Raw genomic sequence first — 24,473 nt, 5'->3', positions numbered from 1 at the left:
GTACGTAGGAGAATGTACACGGATTATATGTAAATACTACACTGTTTTGTATCAGGCACTTGAGCATCTGTAGATTTTGGTATCTGTGGGAGGAACTGGAACCAATCCCACGTGGATACCAAGGGACAACTCTATATGCATGCATATATGGATAAAGAGAGCTATGTACATAAATATAATATAGAGAGATATCTACAAAAACTTATGTATATATGTATATATCTCTCCTTTGTATGCATATGTGTATATATATGTGATTTGGTGTGAGTGTGTGATGTTCTACACAGTTGATGTTTTATCATACATTTTTAGCAATTTGATTTTTTTTCATTAATATGTCGTAGAGATCTTACTGTGTTAGTCCATACAGATTGACCTCATTGTCAATTCGTAGGCTAAACAGGATACCTATTTAGCTATTGCTCAATTGATGATGATCTATGTTGCTTCCAGCTTTTGCTTTTACAAATATACTGCACTGAACATCCTTGTACATGCTTCATCATGCCCACCTAAGTGGGGATTTCTATAGAATAAACGCTGAATAGTCAGATTATTATGGGTTATACAATGTTTAGGTTTTCTTAGATACTTCTAAACTGCTAAATTAATTTGTTTAGCAGATATAATCTTATCAGTATTACAAAGTATTAAATCTTAACAAGTTGGCTTTGTGAAAAATAACTTGTTTTTGCTCAGTTTAATTTCCTCAGTGACAAACTGTAGCCCTGTAGATAAGGAAGAAGAAAGAAGGGCAATATATTTGAAGTGAAGATTTGGATTTGAATTATAGAAGTTTCTTGCTAATGAACCTGGGAAAACTGCTTTGAAATATACGATGATCAGATACCCAATTAACTAGAGTACTAAAAACAAAAGCCAGTAATTAAAACCTTACCATCAACCTGAGGGTCTTTATTGAAGCTCTTCTGGTTTAATACTCTTAATTTTTTTAAAAAAATCAATCTGTTGAATGTATTAAAAAGCTGGCTTAATAAAACCTGAAGATAGCTTAAGAATAATGAGAAACTCGGGCTTATTTTGAAAAGTGACCATTAAAACTAAAATCTTCCTTATAGGTGATTCTATTCAATGATTCAGTCCACTGATGTTTAGAATGGATTCCATCAGCTGGTAAAAGGCACTCCTTCAGGATGGACACTCTCCCCCTGCAGCTATCCACAGCCCTCATGCCAACCAAACTGCTCCTGTTAAGGCCCAGTGCTAACACTGACCCTCACTGTTCATACTCAGGCTGTTAGTTGCTAGTCTGCATATACTTATAGGATTTCTTCGTACTGTTATGGATTATATCGACTCTTTCTCCTCTCTCTCTTTACTCCCATGTGGACTCCTGGAAGACTGAACCATGACATATTCATTATTGTATTCCCAGCTGACAGTACTGTGCTTAGGAGCCTAGTGGTTAAGATATTGGCTTCAAGCAGATCTGTATTTAACCTCATTTCTGCCACTTTCCAGCTTTGTGTATTCTTGAGGAAATTGTTCCAATACATAGGCCTCAGTTTCCTTTTCTGTAAATTGGGACCACCTACCTTAAAGGATCATTAGGAGAGGATTAATTTTAATATCTGCATGCTTAGTATAGTATAAACAGTGAAATGATAGCTGCTGTTAATGTTACCAACATAAGGAACATATATGTATCTTTACTTTGTTTTCTCTAGTATAAGCCGTATCCCTGCATTTATTCAGCACAGACTTGGAGAGCTCAGCATAAAATATAGTCAGGTTTTCAAGATATTTGTCTGCTCAGACACTTAAAAATTTGGTGGAAGACACAGCATTTGCTCCTAGTAGCGATAAACATATCCAGGAATGAGCTGGCATACTAAGCTCAGTGGTCTCCTATTTGGCCCAGTGTAGAGATTTTAGAAAGGCGGGGGACCACATATAAAGAAAATAATTGAGCATCTTCAGAATGCAATCTAATAGCTAGCTTTATCACCTTCCCAGGAATGTGTGCTTAATAAAATAAGTCTTGGAGAACATTTACACATTGGTACTATGTTAGAGAAAGGTCTTTAATCCCTCTTTGGGAATTAACACACATATCATTTTTACTTCTATACATATAAAATATTTATTCTTCCCACCAAGAGCTATACTGCTGCTGTTGAAATCTGGGTCTAGGAATTATTGTTTACATCTCAGCTCGGTCACTTTATACCCCTCTCTGCTGTGTTTATGTTGAAGATTCTAAGCTGCCTTAGCGCTCTATCAACTCGGCATTTGGATCCAAACTCATATCTTTTATGGTGACTGGCTGTCAAATTGGTACTCAATGTACTTTCTGCTCCTGAAACCCTTTCTGCTCCCCACTTTCTTCTCTGATTTTATGTGTCCTTTAATTTCCTCTTGAAAAATACGGGCTGCCAATGGCAATTCTTTCTGTGATCATGCTGCCTAGAGAGCTCCATTTCCTGTGCTACCCACCATTGCTGAACATCTCCTTGTCTGTCACAGTACCCCTGGTCTCCTCAGAAACAGACATGAAACACCGTCTCACTCTTTTTGAACAGTGAACTTTTACTTTCCCATTCCCTCTGACCTTCTCTGGGTGGTATGAAATAGAAAGCAGATATGGCGTATCAAAATTGTCTCCTTCAGTCAAGTTGCCACGGGGGAAAAACCCAAGATTCTGTGAGGCTACTGTGTCTCAGATCTTTCCTGGAAACATCATAAGCAAGAGCCCGTTCTCCATCATCCATCATTCTGAATCCCTGGAGCATATTCTAGGATGTGCGGTGTATGAGGACTCTCCTGGTGCCACCTTCTGCATTTGGTTTCCTGCCATCTCCTGTCTCAGGATTCAAGGCCTCATAGGCCTGGCTAGACTCCACACAGTATTCCTCCTGGTGGTGCCAAATTAACCAACCTGCCTTTGTATTTGGAACCTTCTCTGAAAGCTTTCCAGCAGTTTCTTATTGCCAAGGTCTCTGCTCCCAATTTTAAAGCCTTGAAGTCTCGCCTTTTCTCTGTCATCCCTCTAGCCTTGTTTGATCAATGACCACCCTGGCGTCCAGGGCTCTGTTTTATTCTGTGGGTGCTATTCTGTGTGTTTGGAAGGTTCCATTGTATGTCATCCACTTACTACCTGGTCCTCAGCCCACATTTGAAGCCAGCTATTTTGGTTTCCTTATTCTCTCAGTAACGTTCAGGTCTAGACACTGCCCTGGATGTGGGGTTTTATTTTCTTTCACGTGGGTGTCATGAGAGTCATTGTAATCCCCATGATATTAGTTGAAAACAAAGGTGTTGGATAGTGACTGTACATATACCTGAATACTTGCATCAAATAGGGGATTTTGGAAAATAGATCCTAAAAGGGAAACTTCTCATGGTGGAGAGTCAGTGAGGTGAATATTTTTAAGTTATTTTACTTGTTTTTCCCTCAAATCATTTCTCACAGGTACCACCTGATCATAAGATAAGCTTTGCTCTCCTCTTTCTTTCATACAGTTTCAGTTTCCCGTTCACCATGGCAGGTAATTTTTCCACGCAGTAGAGTGAGGGTAGGGTTGAGTTGTAGGCAGCCAAACTGCCTGGGTTTGAATCCCACTTTGGCCACTTATTAGCATTAGGTGTGTGATCTTGAGTGATGTTTTCTCTTCTCTTCTCTTTTTCTTTTCTTTCTTTTCATTTCTTTTCTTTTTTCTTTATTTTCTTTTCAGACAGTGTCTCACTCTTACTCTGTTGCCCAGGCACAATCATAGCTCACTGCAGGCTCAGACTCCTGGGCTCAAGCTATCCTCCTGCCTCAACCTCCCGAGGAGTTAGGACTACAGGTGCAAGCTACCATGCTTGGCTAATTTTTTATGTTATTTTTTTGTAGAGACACGGTCTTGCTTTGTTGCCCAGGCTGGTCTTAAGCTCCTGATCTCAAGTGATCTACCCACCTCAGCCTTCTAAAGTGTTGAGGTTACAAGCGTGAAGCACCACGCCTGGCTTTCAGTAATGTTTCTTAATCTTTGTTCCTCAGTTTCCTCAGGCATAAAATAGTTCTTACTTTATAGGGGGTTCTTGTAGGAATTACATAAGTTAAAATATTATTATCTTGAAATACAAAAGAAAAGTGATAAATTTTATCTACCTGTCACCACTCCTGTGATATCCATATGTATATTACTCTTATGCATCTGGACTTTGACTGATAAAAGACTTTTTTTGCTACTATTATGTACCTTAATCTTGCCTTTATTCTCTACTTGTATGCTCCTTGTATGTTTGCCCATGTTAATGGTTCGTAGTTTATCCCAGAGAACAGTGCTCCATACAAATGTTGCCTAATAAAAGCTTTTCAGTGAGCTTGATGACAAAGGACATTATCTTAGCTTTGCACAGCCTGAAAAATATTTAAATTCTGTATCTTAATCAGGCTGTTTTAACTCTATTTGTATATTTAGTCCATTTGTTAACCTCATCCTGTACTTTTTAATGTGATTATAATCTGTTTTCTCAGAATGATGAAGCTTGAATGAGATAATCTATAAATGAAAGTATGTTGTAAATAGAAAAGTGCCATGCAAATATAAAATATATTAGTAATAAATAACCTTATGGAGTCACAAAACAGTGTGTTATCTTTGGGTGAAAATAAGGCAGCTGTGATTTGATTCATGCAGTAGAAAAAGCCTTGAAGTAGATGTAAAGTATATGAGAGGTTTGCTTCTAAGTGAATTGATGACTATGATTACTTATTTGCTTTTAAATCTCTTTAGATGTTTATTAAACTTCTATCATGCTCCAAAATTAGTTTTTAAAAATTACTCAGTTTATTAAAACATAATTTTGTTGCATACCAACACTTATTAGGATACAACTTTATATGCTTTTGAGGAAAAGCAATGACCATTCGAGGTAAACCAACTACATGGCAGGTGCAATGTTACAAGTTTTACATTTGATAAGATTTTATTCTCTAGTTTCATACCTGGCATCCTGCTTAGCCTACCTTTACTGTCAGAGATCTTATCAGCAAGTAGCAATCTATTCCCTCAAGAAATGTTCCTGCTGATATGGAAAAATAGGAAGGAAATGTCACTGGAACCGTAATAGGCCTTTGTAAATCTTGGCTTAATACTGACACAAACAGCCATCCTGCTCTTAAATCCTCTGATACTCTTTAATTAAAGCCTTTTCAGAGCCCTGAAAATTACCAATAGGTAAGCTAAAATAAAATCTATTTTATTTGATGAAATGTGGCTTTAAGCACTTTTTCAAGACATATAAAAGTATTTGTCAATTTCTGTTAAGTTTTAGTAAAATAACAACTTACCTCCTTGATCTTAAATAAATATGTCTGCCCTTTTATTGTATCCTACCTGTTATCTAAAAGAGACTTGAAAAAGGTTATGATGTGTAACATATGCACCATAAAACTAATGAATTACTACTAGACAGTACTCTAGAAGTTGGCACAGAAAATAAAACAAATTTGTTCAAAAAGAGACTAATATAGTTATATAATGAGCAGCTGGTTTGTTTGACTCTCAGCTTTCTGGCAGCCAGGGGAAAAATGGAAATAGGCTAAATTATATATTCTCAGTATCATAAAGGAAAAAACATGTCAAATTCTTAATGTACTGTATTATGTACAGTATAACCGTATTCATAAATACAGTTATACATACATGCCTCACCACATGTTGGAAAAAACTTACTCAAAAACATGTCTGTTTTACTAAATTTATATTTTTAATTACTTTGCTTAAGTTAATGTGAAAAACTTTTTTTTATCCCTTGGGAATACTCTTTCTGTGCATGCAATTTTAGGTAGCAGCAGGGTATGGATGATAAAGAAAATTTTGCCATAGAGAAAAAAGTAAAAATTGTGAATGTATCTAATTTTAAAAATATTGGCTGTATAGTTAGGATTCTGACAAATTGCATAATGACTAGCTCTGTCAACAATTGGGAGGTAAGGAAGAACAAAAATAAATTGCTTTCAAAGTGTAGAATTTGTGAAAAGAATGAAGACCTCTATCTTCAGTGTACCTACTTGGAATTTGATTTCCAAAGCTCAAGTTTGTTTAAAATTTTAGCCTAGGAAAATATTGGTGTGCAATAGAAGAGGAAGGCAGATTGGTTACTGAAGTACAATAATGCACTTGTAGCAGGAGTGGGAGTCAGCTCAGGAAACATATATTCTTAGTTGAAATGCATTTGTTAGTAACATACTATTGACCACTTGAGAAAGAATAGTAGAGGAAATATTTTCAAGCAAACCAATATACTTATTTTCACCTTTCTAGAAATGTTTGAAGAAATGAAACAAAGGAAAGTGACTCACTGGGACTTATAACTGAGAGTCATGAGAGGGTAAGAAGTTATAGTGATAGAAAATAAAAACAAATTGCTTCTTTGGGTGAAACTGTGAAGTCTGTGGCAGATGGTTTCTAAATCAATAACCTTTTCTTCAGATTCGCATGTGGTGGAAGATAGTGTAACTATAGATTGTAATATACTGTCATACTTTATTAGCATTACTAAACCTTTCTGTTTGAAACCTAGGGGCACTTCGAAGAAGTTTCTTTTTAAAAAATTTATTCTGCTTAAACTGTCTAAATACAAATGGGTACAAATATATAGTTAGATCAAAGGAATAGGATTTGATAGCACAACAGGATGACTATAGTAAACACAGATATTTTTCATGTAAGCCCTTTGTACAGATACTTGAAGAGAGTTCCCTGGCCTATTTTTATATATGACGGTGGATAGATTTTATGTTTTCATTATTAAAGTAAATTGGACAAAACAGAGAATAGTTAGCAATTTATATTTGTTTTTATATATTATGTGCTTTGATCTTCATTATCAAATAACTTGTAATAAGGTCATGAGAATTCATAAACTAGCTTAAAATTATTTAATTGTACAAGTCTTTTCTTTGTGTTTGACTGACTGGTTTCACATTATTATCATATTGCTTCAAACCAAATATATAGGTTAATTTTCAACTCTAATGGAATTTGGCAGATTTAAGATTTTAGTTCTATAGAATAGTTTCATTTTGGGTTGTTCATGTTGTTAAAAGTTAGTTTTTAAACTGTATCAAATATCTGTATTGTAAATCTCTTCTATCAAGTGTCTTCTCAAATGTACATCAAATAGCACTTATATAATGTGTGGAATATACTTTATGTTTTAGGTGAATTCTTTCATTTATTTGCAAATAGCATTGTCAGGAAGATAGAAAAGGAATTATTTTTATTCCCGTTTTTTTTTTAGTAAGGAAACTTGGAAGCAAGTAGCTAGTAAATGACATGGAATCCTGGTTTCAAAAGCTCAACTCTTTCCTGGGTTCCAGATTGGTAGTTGACAATGAATTTGCTCCCAAGTTTGCATGAGAGGAACCTCAAAAATCAATAGCTCTAGAATATAGATATCTAAAAGGAAGAGAGGTTTAGCAGAAAGAAAATTCATAAAGATAGTGGTGCATTGTTTTTGATAGTGAAGAATTTATTCTTTAAACTAGATAACTGACTCAGAATAATTAAATGCTGTCTTTATATTTAGCATCTCAGGCATCTTTTCCTCATGTCTTAATTTCCTTTTATTTCAAAATTAAAATGATGGTGCACTTTCCAAGAATTGGCTTCTCTGCAGGCTAGTTGGATATTTCCAGTGTCAGGACATCAGAATTTCCATGGCAGTTCCACAAGGCATAAATAGTAGAGAGCTGTTTGTATCCTTACCAGATTTCCCTTTCAGGCTGTAATATGCTGCTGGAGTGTTTGTGTTAGAAACACATTATTTTGCTTTAAAAACACGGCAAGCTTGAGGTAGTTGAAGGCCATTAATAAAGAAGCTGGTAGCTTCATCTTCTAAGCTTTTCCCTGGAACATGCTTCAATCTCTTTGCATATATATACGTCTCTCCCACCAAGTACGGATATTAAGCCCACTAATTAATATTTTCCATATCATTTAATCTCCTGCTCTATTTGTTAATTCTCTGGAAATGTTCAGTAATCAAAAGTGCATAGTCAAGGGAGGATATGATAAGTCAGGTATGTCCTTGAACCAACAGACCCCTTTTGTTTACCCAGTAAGTCTTGAAGATAACACTAATTAGGCACATGGAAAAATATGCAAATTATAGCCTGTACAAATTAAAAGTCATCATTAACAGTATCTCACGGAAATATAGACCTTAGGTTTCTCATTCCTCACACCCTCTGTGGTGTATAGAGGTGTTGTAATAGAGAAAAGAGGCTTTACTACTCCCAGATTTCCTGGATTCCTATTCAATGTGCCCTATTTCCTTGACTGGTATACCCTTCCCTTTAAGGCCATCTGACCAGGATCAAAGATGCCTGCATTAGAAACTCCCCAGACATTTCCTTGCCTCCATCTTCAATATCCTAGACTCCTCTCTGTCTTACAACCATACCGACACTTAAAAATAACTTGTTGAGTTGTTGAGGTATAATTTGCATACACAATAAAAAGCACAGATTTAAAGGATATGCTTTGATAAGTTTTGATAAATGTGTGTCGTATGTAACCACCACCTTAATCAAGATGTCTTTATATTTCCATCATCCTAGAAAGGCCTGCAGATTCTTTTGCAGTCGCTTCACTCCTCCCTTTCACCAACTCTTTAATTTTTTTCATCACCATTGATTAGTTTTATTTGTTCTGCAACTTCATATAAATGAAATATTGTCTTCTTTCATTCAGTATTGTCTGGGAAATTAACTATGGTGTTGCATGTATGAACAATTTGTTCATTTCTATTTCTGAGTAGGAAAATCTGCTTCTCCATTCACCTGTTGTTGGGCATTTGGGTTATTTCCGGTCTAGGACTGTTATGAAAATGCTACTATGAGATTGTATTCAAATCTTTTTGCTTTAATACACCTTTTTATTTTGAGATTTTTTAGATTCACGTGTGATTTTAAGACATAACACAGAGAGATTCCGTGTATCCTTTATTCAGTTTTCTCCAGTAGTAACATCTTACAGAATTATAGTACAGTATCATGACCAGGAATTGACATTGTTATCATCTACTGATGTTATTTAGATTTCCCAGTTTTACATGTACTCGAGTGTGTGTGTGTATATTTAGTTCTAGACAATTTTATTTCATGTGTAGTTTTGCATATTCACCACCCCTGTCAGAACAGTTTTGTCACCACAAAGATCTCCCGCATTGCCCTTTAATAACCACATACATCTCCTCCATCCCCAACCCCTGGAAATGAGTAATATATTCTCCATCTCTATAATCTTGTTATTTCAAGAATGCTATTTAAACGGAATCATATAATATGCAACTTTTAAGATTGACATTTTTCACTCAGCATCCTTCCCTTGAGATTTATCTAAGCTGTGTGTATATCAATGGGTTTCCTTCCCATCGAAGGTTGTTTCTAGTTTTTGGCTGTTACTAATAAAGCTGCTGTGAACATTAGTGTACATGTTTTTGTGTAAAGATAAGTTTTCATTGCTCTGGTATAAATGCCCAAGAGCACAATTGCTGGGTCATATGGTGATAGTATGTTTAGTTTTATATAAAACTGCTGAGCTGTTTTCCAGAATAACGGTACCGTTTTACATTTCCAGCATCATTGCACCGGTGAGCCAACTTCTCAGCATCATCAGCATTTGATGTTGTCACTCTTTTTTATCTGAGCTATTCTTACAGGTGTGCAGTGATATCTCACTGTAGTTTTAATTTGTTTCTTTAATGGTTAATGGTGTTGAACATCTTTTCATGTACTCATTTGCCATCTATGTATCTGTCTTGGTAAAATATCTTTTCCATGTCTTTTGTCCATTTTCTGTTTGAATGGTGTTTCTTTACTGTTGAGTTATGAGAATTCTTTTTAAAAATTTTTAATAATTTTTAATTGTGTGCGTACATAGTAGGTGTATATATCTATGGGGTACATGAGACGTTTTGATACAGGCATGCAATGTGTAATAATCACATCATGGAGAATGGGATATCTATCCCCTCAAGCATTTATCCTTTATGTTAGAAGCAATCCAATTATACTCTTTCAGTTATTTTTAAATGTACTATTAACTTAATATTGACTATAGTCACCCTGTTGTGCTATCAAATAGTAGGTCTTATTCATTGTTTCTTTTTGTACCCATTAACTATCCTCACCTGCTTCTTACCCTTCCCCCTACCCCCAATCCCTTACCAAAAAGATGGGATTGCCAGGCGCGGTGGCTCACGCCTGTAATCCCAGCACTTTAGGAGACTGAGGCGGGTGGATCACGAGGTCAGGAGATCACAACCATCCCGGCTAACATGGTGAAACCCTATCTCTACTAAAAATATCAAACAATTAGCCGGGCGTGGTGGCGGGTGCCTGTAGTCCCAGCTACTTGGGAGGCTGAGGCAGGAAAATCACTTGAACGCGGAAGGTGGAGGTTAAGATGAGCTGAGGTCACACCACCGCACTCCATCCTGGGCAACAGAGCAAGACTCCATCTCAAAACAAAAACAAAAAAACTTGATTTGAGCCCACAGATAAGTGAGAACATATGATGTTTGTCTTTCTGGGTCTGGCTTATTTCACTTAACATAATGATCTCCTTTTCCAACCACGTTGTTGCAAATGACAGGATCTCATTCTTTTTATGGCTGAATAGTATTCCATTTTGTATATGTACCACATTTCCTTTATCCATTCACCTGCTGATGGACACTTACGTTGCTTCCAAATCTTAGCTATTGTGAACAGTGCAGCAATAAACATGGGAGTGCAAATATCTCTTCGATTTACTGCTTTCCTTTCTTTTGGGTATATACCCAGCAGTTAGGATTGCTGGATTATATGCTAGCTTTATTTTTAGTTTTTTAAGCAACCTCCAAACTGTATTCCATAGTAGTTGTACTAATTTGCATTCCCACCAACAGTGTATGAGGGTTCCCTTTTCTCCACATTCTTGCCAGCATTTATTGTTGCCTGTCTTTTGGATATAAGCCATTTTAACTTTCATTGGCATCTTTATTAAAAGCCACTGGATGTATTTTGTGGGTCTGTTTCTGGATTCTGGGTTCTCTTCTGTGGCTCTCTCTGGATGGATCTAGGAATAGATCTAGAGTCTGTTCCCTAAAACACTACCATACTGTCTTGATTTTTCTAGCTAATAATGTAAGCCTTATTAAAAGGCAGAGTGATTTCTGTACCTACTTTATTCTTCTTTATCAACTTTCTTTTAGCTATTATAGGGCTATGCATTTCCATATAAATTTTCTCTATGTCCACAAAGCTGGGATTTTGATAGGAATTATATTAAACTCATATGTCAACTTGGGGAGAGTTAACCACTTCACTATGTTGAGTTTTCCAATCCATGAACAAGGTATATCTCTCCATTTATTTCTATCTTTCTTTTATTTCATCAGCATTTTGCAATTTTTAGCATAAGATCCCATGCACATTTTCTTAATATATTTTTAAGTATTTCATTTTCTTTGAAGTGATTCTAAATAGTATTATATTTTAAATTTCAGTTTCTGCATGTTAATTGTTAGTATATAGAAATATGATGGATTTTTGTGGATTGATCTTCTATCTTGCAACTTTGCAAAACTTGCTTATTAGGTCTGGGAGTTTTTTTTTTCTTTTTTTTCTTTTTTTTTTGGTAGATTCCTTGGGATTTTCTACATAGACAATTACGTTATCTGCAAATAGAGATGGGTTTACTTCTTCTTTCCCAGTCTGAATATCTTTTTTTTTCTTTCTCTTGCCTTATTTCAGTGGCTAGAACTGAACGTTTTATTTTTATTTTATTTATGTATTTATTTTGAGACAGAGTATCGCTCCATCACCCAGGCTGGAGTGCAGTGGCGCAATTTCGGCTCACTGCAACCTCTGCCTCCCAGGGTTTTTTGTTTGTTTGTTTGTTTGTTTTTGAGATGGAGTCTCTCTCTATTGCCCAGGCTTGAGTGCAGTGGCATGATCTTGGGTCACTGCAACCTCTGCCTCATGGGTTCAAGCGATTCTTTTGCCTCAGCCTCCTGAGTAGCTGGGATTACAGGTGCGTGCCACCATGTCCGGCTTATTTTTTTAGTAGAGACAGGGTTTCACCATGTTGGCCAGGCTGGTCTCAAACTCCTGACCTTGTGATCCAACTGCCTCATCCTCCCAAAGTGCTGGGATTACAGGCGTGAACCACCATGCCTGGCCTCACTTCCCAGGTTCAAGGGATTCTCCTGCCTCAGCTTCCCGAGTAGCTGGGATTACAGGCATGCGCTGCCATGCCTGGCTAATTTTCTATTTTTAGTAGAGACAGGGTTTCACCATGTTGGTCAGGCTGGTCTCCAACTCCTGACCTTAGGCAATCCACCCACTTCGATCTCCCAAATACTGGGATTACAGGTATGAGCCACTGCACCTGGCCTGAGAGTTCTATTTTTAAAAAACCATGAATGATCCTGTATTTTGTTAGCTGCCTTTTCTGTGCCAATTGATATGATTTCTCATCTCTAACCTGTTGATATGGTGGATTTCATTGATCAATTTTCCAAATATTAAACCAGCATTAAATATAGGGAACAAATACAAACTTGGTCATGGTATGTTATTGGATTTGAATTTGCTAATGTTTTGTTGAGGATTTCTGCATCTAAGTTCATAGAATATATTTTTTGTTTTCTTTGTTTGTACTGTCTTTGTTAGGTTTTGGTATCATTACAATACTAGCCTCATAAAGTAAGTTGAGAAACATTCCCTCCACTTCCGTTTTCTCAGAATGGTTGTGTAAAATTGTAACTGCCCAGTGGGTTCACCTTGCCCACTGCCTAGACAGAGCTGCTTTCTTAAGACAGGGGAACTGTAATGGAAAAAGAGTAATTCATGCAGAGCCGGCTGTGCAAGAGACCGGAGTTTTATCATTACTCAAATCAGTCTCCCTGAGCATTCGGGGATCAGAATTTTTAAAGATAATTTGGCAGATAGGGCCTTGGGAAGTGGGGAATGCTGATTGGTCAGGTTGGAGATGGAATCATAGGGGGTTGAAGTTAGGTTTTCTTAATGTCTTCTGTTCCTGGGTGAGATGGCAGAACTGGTTGAGGCAGATTACCAGTCTGGGTGGTGTCAGCTGATCCATCAAGTGCAGGGTCTGAAAAATGTCTCAAGTACTGATCTTAGGTTTTACAATAGTGATGTTATCCCCAGGAGCAATTTGGGGAGGTTCAGACTTTTGGAGCCAGAAGCTGCATGACCCCTAAACTGTAATTTTTAATCTTGTAGCTAATTTGTTAGTCCTGTAAAGGCAGACTGGTCCCCAGGCAAGAAGGGGGTCTTTTCAGGAAAGGGCTGTTATCAGTTTTGTTTGATAGTTAAACCATGAACTGAATCCTTCCCAAAGTTAGTTTGCCCTACACCCGGGAATGAACAAGGACAGCTTAAAGGTTAGAAGCAAGATGGAGTCGGTTAGGTCTGATTTCTTTCACTGTCATAATTTGCTCAGTTATAATTTTGCAAAGGTGGTTTCAAAATTAGTGTCAATTTTTTAAATGTTTGGTAAAATTCTCCAGTGAAATTATCTGGACCTGAATATTTTTCTTTGGAGAACTTTTTGATTATGGATTCAGTTTCTTTATTGTTATTTGGATGTGTAATCCTTTTTGTGGACACGTATTTCCTTTTGGGCAAATATCTAGAAGTTGGAGATTCTATACCTTTGGGTCAGTAGATGTTAAACTTCATTTAAAAAGTGCCAAACTCCTTTTTTTATTATTATTATTATACTTTAAGATCTGGGATACATGTGCAGAACGTACAGGTTTGTTACATAGGTATACATGTGCCATGGTGGTTTGCTGCACCCACCAACCCATCATCCACATTAAGTATTTCTTCTAATGCTATCCCTCCCCTAGCCCCTCACCCCCCAACAGGCCCCGGTGTGTGATGTTCCCCTCCCTGCGTCCATGTGTTCTCATTGTTCAACTCCCAATTATGAGTGAGAACATGCGGTGTTTGCCAAACTCTTTTTCAAAATGTTCACGCCATATTATACTCCAAAGAACACTGTAGCAAGTTTCAGTTGCTCTTCACCCTTCTTTGGTATTGTCAGTCTGATTAATTTCAGCCATTCCAATAGATCTGAAGTAGTATCTAATTGTGATTTTTATTTTTATTTCCTTCATTAATGAAGGTGGACATCCTTTTATGTACTTATTTACCATTCTCATACTTTTTTTGGCGAATGTCGGCTCAATCTTTGCCCAATTATTTTGCTTGTTTGCATGTTTATTTTTAGTCAGTAGTTTGTCTTTTTCTTGAGTTGCAAGATCTCATTATATATTTTGGATATACAATATGTCAGATATATGTATTTCAAATTCATGCTCCAAATTTCTGGCTTTCCTTTGCATTTTCTTGATATCCTTTGAAAAGTAAAAGTTTTAATTTTGATCAATTGCAGTGTATTGTTTTTCCTTCTATGTTTGTGCTTTCATGTTCTCATTAATAAATTTTTAATTCTAATAAATATAAATTATATTTATTTTAAATTAATAAATGAACCTACTCCATGGCTGTAAAATTTTTCTCCTATGTTTCATTCTAGAAGTTTTAAGGCTTATGCTTAGATTTATGTTTTAGGCTATGATTCATTCTTTGTATGGTGTGAGGTTGAGGTTTATTATTTTTCATAAAGATGCCCAGTTGATTCAGCATAATTTTTTGAGACCACTATCCATTTCTCTTTGAATTGCCTTGGCACATTTGACAAATATCAATTAACCACTTATGTATGGATCTATTTCTGGACTCTATTCTGTTCCACTGATATATTCATCTGTCCTTATACTGGCGCTGTCCTGATTTGATTATTGTAGCTTTATAATATTCTTTTTTTTTTTTTTTTTGAGACGGAGTCTTGCTCTATCACCCAGGCTGGAGTGCAATGGTGCGATCTCAGCCCACTGCAACCTCTGTCTTCCAGGTTCAAGCGATTCTCCTGCCTCAGCCTCCTGAGTAGCTGGGATTACAGGCACCCGCCACCATGTCCGGCTAATTTTTATTTTGTATTTTTAGTAGAGACGGATTTTACCATGTTAGCCAGGATGGTCTTGATCTCCTGACCTTGTGATCCACCCGCCTCGGCCTCCCAGCTTTATAATATTCTTTAAGCCAGTTAACATGAGTCCCCCCCATTTTTTTTATAATTTTAAAAATGATTCTGACTATGGTAGTTATTTTTGTTTCTTTATACAATGTTTGCTTTCCACAGTGGTGTGGGACTGTAAAAATGGCCATGCAAGCTGAAACCATGCAAAATGATTGTAAAAATCAATGAAAATATTACTATTGTTCCATAACCTATAAAACATTTTGATATTAAAAAATCTCTTACTGCTTAAAGTTATGAAAGTATAAGAAAATGAAAAAATAGTACAACCAATACTAATTTAACATACTATAGTTTCAAACATTAGAAACATTCAAAATTAAAGTATTTTATATTCTGGGAAAAAAGTGTCAGGAGTAGTTTGAACAGCGCTTGCCTTCTTCTTGTATAACCTACCATACAGAGTGAGCATCTTCTCAATATCTTATCAAATCATCATGCTCTTTTCTAAGTTTGAATCACCTTCCAATGTTTTCTCCTTTGTGCCTTCAATATCATGATGTATCTTTGAGAATTCCTTTAAGGGGAAGTTTTTCAGCAAGCGTGACTTCTGGGGCATCTTCATCCTTTTCTTCACACCCACTTTTCCTCATGTGTGTTGATAGCTGTGCTTCACTGAGTTCCTTTGGTTATAGAGCTATAGTTTCTCAAATGATGCCAGTATCAATATTCCCATGGTCAGATATTTCTTTTGTAACTCTATTTACATTTTATTTTTATTTTATTTTGTGTTATCATTTGTTGTTTCTTTGCTGCTTTTTCATCTTTGTTGTCTAATTCTCTCTTTCAGTGACCCGTTTTCATAAAACATCCTATGGGTTTATCAGTGGGAGACAAAGAGGCATCCAAAGTCCATGCTTTGCTGTCTGTGATGAACTGAATAACAAACACAGTGAGCAATCACTAACGGATGGTGAAAGGAGTGATGCAATTAGTTACTGATCATTATGCACATCTCTCTTTTCACATAGCGATTTGTGGACTGAAGGGCTGGTGGCAAATTTTGTATCTTATGCAATTACTTACTGTTAATCTACCATGAGAACTGAAATTTGAAGCATGCTGTTGAGGGACTAGGGTTTTTATTTAAAATGTTGTAACTGAACCCCATGCATATCAAAAGTGTGCTAAGTGAGGATTGTCTCTCTCTCTCTCTCTCACCCTGTGTATGTATGTGTGTGTGTACTTATAATGGAATATCAAGAGGTATGATAATTTTTATGAAGGAAAATGAAGAGGGAACAGGGATGCGAACAGGAAGTGCTCTTTTATATAAAGTCATCATGGAAGACATCCTGCTGAGCTGACCTTTAGGCAATCAATCAATAAAGCACTGCTAAGATTGAAGGAGGTGGGGAATATTATGTGGAAGGAATAGCAAATGCAAATCCCCCAAAAGAGGAATGAGCTTGTAGTATAAAAACAGCAGAATGTAGACGTGTAGCTAGAGTGAGCTAGAGGGAGAGAATTAGAAGATGAGCTTGGAGAAGCACAAAGAGGACAGATCACAGGAGCCCTTGTAGGCTGTGGTAAAGAGTTTGGATTTTATACTTTGTGTGATGAGAAGCTGCCAGACAGTTTTAATCAGAGGAGTGATGTGATTCAATATGCATTTTTAGAGGATCATTCTGGAAACTGAGCTAAAAGTTGACTATGGAATAGCTATAGTGGAAACAAGAAAACCCCTTCCTGGCTGGAGGCCAAGTTGGGAGGTTTTTGCAGCAGTTCAGGTGAGGAATAATGATGGTTTGGACCAGGGTTTTAGCAATAGGGTTTAAGAAGAGGTCAGCTTCAGGGTATATCCTGAAGACCAAACTGAGCAAACTGATAGATTAGGTATGGGCTGTGAGGGAAAGAAAGGAATTAAAGATCATTCCTAAGTTTTTGGCTAGGGCAAGTAAGGGTATAATGGTATGATATATAAAGATGGAGAAGATGGGAAGCAGCAGCTGGGAAGGGAAAATTAAAAGTTTTCCTTTAGATGTGATAAGTTGAGAGGAATATTATCACCTATTCTAGAGCTCAGGGAAGAGACGGTGGCTAGAGATACAAATTTGGGAGTCATTGATATATAAATGCTATTTAAAACCTCAAACTGGTTGAGAATCATATAGGGAGTTACTAGATACAGAACAGTAAGAGGTTAAGGACTATACCCGGTAGTGCCCCGAACTGTAGACGTGAGATAGACAGGGAAAGTTTAGCAAAAGAGAAAGAGCAGCCAGAGAGGTGGTGGAAAAGCCAAGAAAGCACAGTGCCCAGAAACCAAATTTTAGTAACATGTGAAGAAGGAGGAAGCTTTCAGCTTTGGTCAAAATGCTCCTAAGAGGTCAAGTAGTGTGGACTAATTAACCATTGAAACTGGAATATTAAGATCAATCTGGACCTAGACAGGGTTGTTTTGCTGGAGTAACATGGCCTAAGGCCCAACTGGAATGTTTGGAGGCAGACAGGGAGGTGGGAATGGAGAGGGAAAATAGTGACTGCCTCCTACATTGTTTCTTTGTTGACTTTTTGTCTTCATGACCTGTCTAGTGCTGACAGTGGAGTATTCAAGTCCCCCACTATTGTTGTGTTGCCTTCTGTTTCATTTGGTAGGTCTAGTAGTAATTGTTTTATAAATTTGGGAGCTCCAGTGTTAGGTGCATATGTATATTTAGGATTGTGATATTTTCCTGTTGGATTAGTCCTTTTATCATTGTATAATGTCCCTCTTTGTCTTTCTTAACTGCTGTTGCTTTAAAGTTTGTTTTATTCTGATATAGGAATAGCTACTCCTGCTTGCTTTTGGTTTCTATTTGAATGGAATATCTTTTTCTACCTCTTTACCTTAAGTTTATGTGAGTTCCTATGTGTTAGGTGAGTCTCCTGAAGACAGTAGAAACTTGGTTGGTGAATTCTTATCCATTTGCCATTCTGTATTTGTATTGAGATGTGAGCTACTATTCTGTTTATTGTGCTATTTGTTGCCTGAATACCTTGTTTATTTTTTCATTGTGTTATTGTTACATAAGTCCTGTGAGATTTATGCTTTAAGGAGGTTCTATTTTGGTGTGTTTTGAGGATTTGTTTCAAGATTTAGAGCGCCTTTTAGCAGTTCTTGTAGTGCCAGATTGGTAGTGGTGAATTCTCTCAGCATTTGTTATGTCTGGAAAAGACTGTATCTTTCCTTCATTTATGAAGCCTAGTTTCTCTGGATAAAAAATTCTTGGTTGATAATTGTTTTGTTTAAGGAGGCTAAAATAGGACCCCAATTACTCTAGCTTGTATGGTTTCTGCTAAGAAATCTGTTAGTCTGATAGGTTTTCCTTTATAGGTTACCTGATGCTTTTGCTTCACAGCTTTTAAGATTCTTTCCTTCATCTTGACTTTAGATAACCTGATGACTATGTGCCTAGATGATGATCTTTTTGTAATGAATTTCCTGGATGTTCTTTGAGCTACTCGTATTTGGATATCTAGATCTCTTGCAAGGCCAGAGGAGATTTCCTTGATTATTCCCTGAAATGTGTTTTCCAGACTTTTAGATTTCTCTTCTTCCTCAGGAACACCACCAGTTATTCTTAGGTTTGGATGCCTAACATAGTCCCAAACTTCTTGGAGGCTTTGTTCATTTTTAAATATTTTTTGTCTTTGTCTTTGTCAGATTGGGTTAATTCAAAAGCTTTGTCTTTGAGCTCTGAAGTTCTTTCTTCTGATCATTTTATTCTATTACTGAGACTTTCCAATGCATTTTGCATTTCTCTAAGTGTATCCTTGATTTCCAGAAGTCGTGATTGTTTTTTATTTATGCTATCTATTTCACTGAAGATTTTTCCTCTCATATCGTGTATCATGTTTTTGATTTCTTTAAGTTGGAGTTCACGTTTCTCTAGTGCCTCCTTGATTAGCTTAATAATGGGCCTTCTGAATTCTTTTTCTGGCAATTCAGAAATTTTGTCTTGGTTTGGATCCATTACTGGTGAGCTGGTGTGGTCTTTTGGGGATGTTAAAGAAACTTGTTTTATCGTAATACCAGAATTATTTTTCTGGTTCCTTCTCATTTGGATAGGCTATGTCAGAGGGAAGATCTGGAACTCAAGTGCTGCTGTTCAGATTCTTTTGCTCCATGGGGTGCTCCTTTGATGTGGTGTTCTCCCCCTTCCCCTAGGGATGGGGCTTCCTGAGAGGCGAACTGCAGTGATTGCTTTTGCTCTTCTGGGTCTAGTCACCCAGCAGAGCCTACCAGGCTCTGAGCTGGTACTAAGGAATGTCTGCAAAGTGAAATAGACTCTGTGTGGGTCCTTGCTTGTATTTTTCTTTAGTGTGCTGGTTTTGTGTTGGTTGGCCTTCAGCCAGGAACACAAGAGTGCACCACTGCACTCTAGCCTGGGCGACAGAGCAAGACTCTGTCTCATTTTCCAGAGCGTATCAGCTGCAGCTGTATAAGCAGGATCAGGCAGTGGGTGGGGTTATAGAGCTCCCAAGAGATTATGTTCTTTGTCTTCAGCTGCCAGGGCAGGCAGAGAAAGACCACTAGGTGGGGACAAGGATAGGCCTGTCTGATCTCAGAGTCTCCTTGGGTGGGCCTTGCTGCAGCTGCTGTGGGGGATGGGAGTGTGGTTCTCAGCCCAATGGAGGTATGTTCACAGGGGGATTATGGCTGCCTTTGCTGAGTCACACAGGTCACCAGGGAAGTGGGGGAAAGACGGCAGTCACAGGCCTCACCCAGTTCCCACATAGCCTGCAGTCCACTTAGGAGCATGCTGACCAAAGTCAAGAGTTTCCCCATTCTCAAAACACTACAGAAATTTGATTTGTAGGCACTACATTTTTTTGCTTTCCCACCACCTCACTGACTGCTTTATCGTAATCTCTTTTACTAAATTTTTCCTATTTTACCTCTACAATTTGGGATCCCACCTGGTATAGTACTTAACTTCCTCCTGTTTTCTGTCTAGTAATTCCTTATATGATCTCAACCAGCTTGGGTTTTAAATAGACACAAGCAAAATTCCAATTTTGGTTACCAGTCAGTGTACATTAACTGTGGTAATTGCAATAAAGCACAACTGCTACCTCTTCAGTCCACAAATCACTATGCAAATAACGAATGTGCAACTTGATCAGTGACCAATCACGTTACTCCTTTCACTGCATGTCTGTTATTCAGCTCATGCACAGATGGCAAAGCATATAGCTATGTTTCTTGTCGCTCAGTGATATAACTGGATAATAGAGCTTTTAAGATACTACTCTTAATGCTTAATGTTTTTTTAATGCTCCAGATAACCGTGATTCTCTTGGGGACTTAAATGAAAATGTGAATATTTGCTTTCTACCATTAAACATAACTTCATTAATCCAGCCAATGGATCATAGAATTATTTCAACTTCTAAATCTTAGATGGACTTTCAGACAGAGTATTAAACCGGAGATCATACAATTTATCTGAGTTTTGTAAAAGCACATTGCCTTTGGAGTCTTCCCTACAGCTCTGCCTAGGGCCCAACTCATCAGATTTTGGACTCATTAAATCTCCACAATCACAGGAGCCAATTCCTTAAAATAAATCTCTTTCTCTCTGTGTGTATGTGGGTACATGTAAATATAAATATATAAATATAGATATAAAAATAAATATATATTTCTATGTATACACACCCTAATTCTGTTTCTCCGGATAACCCTAATATATATTATGTGTATATATTATGTATGTGTATTTCATGTCTCTCTCTCTCTCTCAAATTAGCTGGGCATGGTGGCGGGCGCCTGTAGTCCCAGCTACTCGGGAGGCTGAGGCAGGAGAATGGCGTGAACCCAGGAGGCTGAGCTTGTAGTGAGCGGAGATTGCACCACTGCACTCTAGCCTGGGCGACAGAGCAAGACTCTGTCTCAAAAAAAAAATGTAGGTATATATATATTTTTATTTTTTATATTTGAGACAGTGTCTCACTCTGTTGCCCAATCTTGGCTTACTGCAGCCTCGATCTCCCAGGCTCAGGTGATTCTCCCCACTTCAGCCTCCTGATTAGCTGGGACTACAGACATTACAGGCATGCACCACCATGCCCAGCTAATTTTTTGTATTTTTAGTAGAGACAGGGTTTTGGCATGTTGGCCAGGCTGGTCTCAAACTCCCGGACTCACAAAATCTATCCTCCTTGGCCTCCCAAAGTATGTATATGTATTTTTAAATGAAAACTTATTGGAGAAAAAGACTTTATATCAATACTGCTGTTTTTGTTGTTGTTTAAAACAGAGTCTCACTTTGTCGCCCAGGCTGGAGTGCAGTAGTACAATCTCAGCTCACTCCAACCTCTGCCTCCTGGATTCAAGCGATTCTCCTGCCTCAGCCTCCTCAGTAGCTGGGATTACAGGTGTGTGCCATCACACCTGGCTAATTTTTGTATTTTTAGTAGAGATGGGGCTTCACCATGGTGGCCAGGCTAGTCTCGAACTCCTCGGCTCAAGTGATCTGCCCACCTTTGCCTCCCAAAGTTCTGGGATTACAGGCGTGAGCCACCACGCATGGCCTACTACTGCTCGTTCTTATGTGCCCCAGACCTAGAATAGTGCTGGGCATACTAAACAAATATTTGTTAAAAAAAAATACATTTTATCAATTAGAATAACAAAGATAGTTTTTAAGTCCTTTCACATCAAGTAGCTCATTTGATTTTCTCAAGGAGGCAAGAAGGCCTATAAATAGGAATCACCAGTATTTTATAGGGAAGAAATGCAGACTCAGAACGCTGGCATGAGGTTTTGGTGTTAGAGCCAGATTTCTTGCCTTTCAGCCTGCGTTTTGTCCATCTTATCCTGATATTCTGCTAGCACTTCTGGAAAACAAAAGGGTAATAGAGATGTCAGTTTTTTATGTTTTTGTTTTGTTTGGTTTTGAGAAAACCTTATGTAATTTTTCTTTCTTTTGGAGTGAACTGAATTCACTGGGGGAAGCATGTGCTGGAGGCCAGCAACATCCTGGCAGGTGTGAGTGGGTGGGCCTCTGAGGGCCGTGCTGAGGACACCTTGTTTACGTAGAGGAAACAGGACTGCAGAAAGGCATTTCTCCTTACACTTAAAATCCAGTTGTGCTGAAAATCTGGACCTACCCATAAGCTATTTCAAGCAGTCTTCACCAAAGCCATCCTTTAGAATGCTTTAGAATTTGATTTGCAAGTGGATTTTTCTGTTATGGGAGTCAGGGTTTATTGTGTGGTAGGAGGAGAATTTACTTTGGATATTCTTTTAATTCCTTCCATGTGCCCCAAATGTTTTTCTAATTGTTCCTCAGCTGAGAAGATAGCTTCATGAAGGAATAGAGGGAAAGGGTACCAATGTTTGTTGAAACAGGTGCCAGTCAGCCACACTGAGTGAAAACCAAACTGAGTCCAGGAACACGAGTTTGGTTTCAAGCTTCTTGTGCCATTTCCTGCGTGTTTGCCTGCTAAAGGGCAGTTGAGTGTTCAAAGCTATCCCTCTCAATTGAAAACTCATCTGACAATAATGAAGCGTGTCAGCTCAGAAAGGCATTAGGAGCTGGAGACATAGCCAAGTGCTTGTATTCAACATTGATTAATGAATTGGTTCTAATCTCAGAGCATCATTTTCACTTATAATTTTTAACTCAAAAAATTGATTTAAAAGTGCAATATAAGTTTAATTCTATTTTTTTCCCACTGTGTCTGGAGAACAAGTTTTTTTCTTGCATTTTTCCCTTTTTCCCTCAATTTACTTAAGCATAGATTTTATGTCATTCTCTCATCACATACCAAAAAACTTAGCAGTTGTGCCAATATAATAAATGTTGAAGTAAGAAAGACAGGGAGACAAATGGAAAAAAAAGAGAATACAAAAAGTATGGCTAACATTATGTAAGAAGAAAAATACAAATGGCTTTCTAGTAACCAAATAAGATGTACACATGAACTTCATAAATATCCTATTGCTTTGTGGAGACTTTCGTTTTATTTTAGAATAATTAAAAATAGTAATTAACAGTTTATTGAGTACTTACTTTATGCCAGGCTCTGTTCTCAGGACTACTCATGAAATAACTCACAGAATCCATACAGCAACCTTATGAAGGAGGTCTGAGGGGAGTCCCCATTTTACATGTGAATTACGCTGTGAGGCAAGGGAGCTGAAGTAGTTTGCCAAAGGTCACACACCTAGTAAGTAGGGGAACAGATTCAAACAAGAATGAGACAGACATTTTCTGTTATTTTTCACATGCAAAAATGTCTCTATTCTACCTCACCATTTGATTAATAATTCTGGGCTAAGAAATAATTTCTTTTAGAATTTGAAGGCTTGTTCTTATAACTTTTAACTTGTAATATTTTTTTGAGAAATCTAAGCCATTTTGATTTCTCATTCTTTGCATATGGCTAGTTTTTGGTTCTTGGGTTTAGTATCTTTTCATTATCTCTGATTTTGAAATTTTATGATAATGAGCATTAATAATTAATACGGGTTTTGAAAAAAATGTGCTGGACAGTTGATGGGCCATTTTATATGATACATGGTCTTCATTTTGGGGAAGGTTTATTTTCGTCCTCTTTTGATCCCATCATTATCCCTCTGATTTCTCTTTGGAGCATGCATTTATTCATTCAACAAATAGTTATCATGCCCCTCCCCTAGCAAGGCATTGTAATTCTGTGCTAGAGGTAATAGCAGTGAACAAAACATTGCCCTCATGGAGCCAATTTGATATTGGGCCTTCTTGATTGACCCTTTAATTAGCTTGTTTTTCCTGTAGTCCATCCTTTCAACTACTTTATATTATTTTCTGAAATATTTCCTTGGCTTTTTCTTCCATTTCTTTAACTGATTTATTTTTAATTTCAGTTCTTTCATTTTTAATTTCCAATTACTCTTTCTTGTTCTCTGATTTGTTTCTTATCTCTCTCTGAGAAAATTAATTGTTGCTTTTTTTTTTTTAAGTATTCTCCATTCCCTTCATAGCCTCTATTAACTCCAGATTGCTTTGTGGTTGTTTATTTGGGTCTCTTTTATGTTGGTGGCTTTCCCTAAATGTCTGATGATTCTTGTCTCTGTGCTCATACTTAAGAGTTAAGCACTAAAATACTGATTAAATTTTCTGCCTACATGTGTGAATATATACTCTGGTAAATTGCTCTAAATGTCAATTATGTGGCCAGGAGGTAAAGGGAGGAGAAAGTAGAATTGAGACTGGATGTAATTGTTAGGATCAGAATGTAGCATGCCTTGCCTACCAAGGTAAGCAGTTTAACCTTTACTTTATAAACACTGAGGAGCTAGATGATGGCTATACTTGAGGTGAGTTATTAGGAGTCTCTCCTTGTAGTCCTAGGATGCAAATT

General features: G+C 37.3%; 1 protein-coding gene and 1 long non-coding RNA gene across 21 annotated transcripts in view; one reads left to right on the top strand and one right to left on the bottom strand.

The window, feature by feature from the left end:
* The window catches only part of MCTP1 (multiple C2 and transmembrane domain containing 1), a 581,405-nt gene that overhangs the window by 87,195 nt on the left and 469,737 nt on the right, over positions 1-24,473 (top strand). The gene's annotated exons all lie outside the window — the stretch shown is intronic.
* Positions 1-24,473, bottom strand: part of LOC105379085 (uncharacterized) — a 121,023-nt gene that overhangs the window by 61,697 nt on the left and 34,853 nt on the right. Inside the window, exons 4-5 of one of the 2 annotated variants that reach the window (XR_948578.3) lie at positions 23,141-23,294; positions 21,608-21,962 (exon numbers count right to left, since the gene is read on the bottom strand). This is a non-coding gene — a long non-coding RNA (uncharacterized LOC105379085). Of the gene's footprint in view, positions 1-21,607; positions 21,963-23,140; positions 23,295-24,473 lie in introns of those variants that run through there. The other variant, XR_948575.3, reaches the window with a different exon arrangement.

Source organism: Homo sapiens, chromosome 5 (genome assembly GCF_000001405.40).
Source record: "Homo sapiens chromosome 5, GRCh38.p14 Primary Assembly".
Taxonomy (NCBI): domain Eukaryota; kingdom Metazoa; phylum Chordata; class Mammalia; order Primates; family Hominidae; genus Homo; species Homo sapiens.
The sequence above is the reverse complement of the archived record's forward strand: the minus strand, read 5'-3'. Positions and strand labels throughout refer to the sequence as shown.